Below are 1,555 nucleotides of genomic sequence, written 5' to 3'. Positions count from 1 at the left end.
CAGTTATCTATTCTGAGTGTGTAAGATCTACCCCCACATTCTTATTGGCCCTGCGTATACAGCAGTTAACAAAACGCAGTTCCTGCTTTCTTGGAACTTAATTACATTGAAATTAATTGACAATAACAAATAGAAAAATAAATAGATAATACCCCAGGCGATTGTGAGGACCATGAAGAAAAGGAAAGCAGGGTGGGGAGATGATGGGCTAGGATATTTGTATCAACCCACTGTAGAAAACAACAATAAAATTTAAAAATAAAATTCTGGAATACGTGTGTGTGTGTGTGTGTGTGTATGTGTATATATATATACATATATATATAATATATAAATTTGTTTTTGAGACGGAGTTTCGCTCTTGTTGCCCAAGCTGGAGTGCAGTGGCGCGATGTTGGCTCACCGCAACCTCTGCCTCCCGGGTTCAAGTGATTCTCCTGCCTCAGCCTCCAGAGTAGCTGGGATTACAGGCACGCATCACCATGCCTGTAATTTTGTATTTTTAGTAGAGATGGGGTTTCTCCATGCCTGAGCGACAAGAGCAAAACTCCATCTCAAAAAAAAAAAAAAAAGAAGAAGAAGAAGAAGACCCTCCTTACAATAACTGGGACCCCAAAGGGCAACAGCCTCAGGGTGAGGATGAATTGAAAATGGAACAGCTTAAAAGGAATTTACAGACTGCATCAAATTGCCTGTCTCAGACATTATCTTGGTTTAAGACTGTCTCTGACTATGGTGTCACCAGATGCTTGGCAAAAGCAAATAGGTGGAGGAAAGCCTTATAATTGTAGGGCCGACATTTTTCCTACACATAAGTTTTCATAGACAATGTCAAATACAGAATTAAAGATAACCAGGTACACAAAGAAACTAGATTCTTAGTGAGAACCAGCAGAAACACAAACATTGGAAATAGACCTGCAGAAACAACTGCTTTTAGAATTATTTGATGCAAACCGCAAAATAATATTTTCTTGGGCTGGACACAGTGGTTTATGTCTATAATCCCAGCACTTTGGGAGGCCAAGGCAGGTGGATTGCTTGAGCTCGGGAGTTCAAGACCAGCCTGGGCAACATGGCAAAACCCTGTCTCTACAAAATATCAAAAATTAGCCAGGTATGGTGGCACAGCCCTGAAGTCCCAGCTCTTCAAGAGGCTGAGATGGGAGGATCGCTTGAGCCCAGCAGGTTGATGCTGCAGTAAGTCACGATCATACCACTGCCCTTCAGCCTGGGTGACAGAGCAAGACCCTGGCTTAAAACATATGTATATTTTCTTGCTTACCTATTAGAGTTTTTAGGAAAAAAAGTAAAATAAAATCATATTTTCTTTGCCTGAAGAAATAAAAAAGATAACTTGGACAATTTTGGCAGGTACCTAAAAACTATACAAAGTGATAGAGCAGATTTAAAAAAAGAAGTAAATAGACTTCTCTTCTATGATTGAGAAATACAGTAACTAAATTAAGAACTCAGTTAATGGCAGATTAGACACTGCTGAATGTAGAATAAATTGAAAGGAAGGTAGGTCACAAGAAATTATCTAGAATAAAGC

Source organism: Homo sapiens, chromosome 1 (assembly GCF_000001405.40).
Source record: "Homo sapiens chromosome 1, GRCh38.p14 Primary Assembly".
In the NCBI taxonomy this organism is placed as follows: Eukaryota; Metazoa; Chordata; class Mammalia; order Primates; family Hominidae; genus Homo; species Homo sapiens.
Note: the sequence above shows the minus strand (reverse complement) of the source record.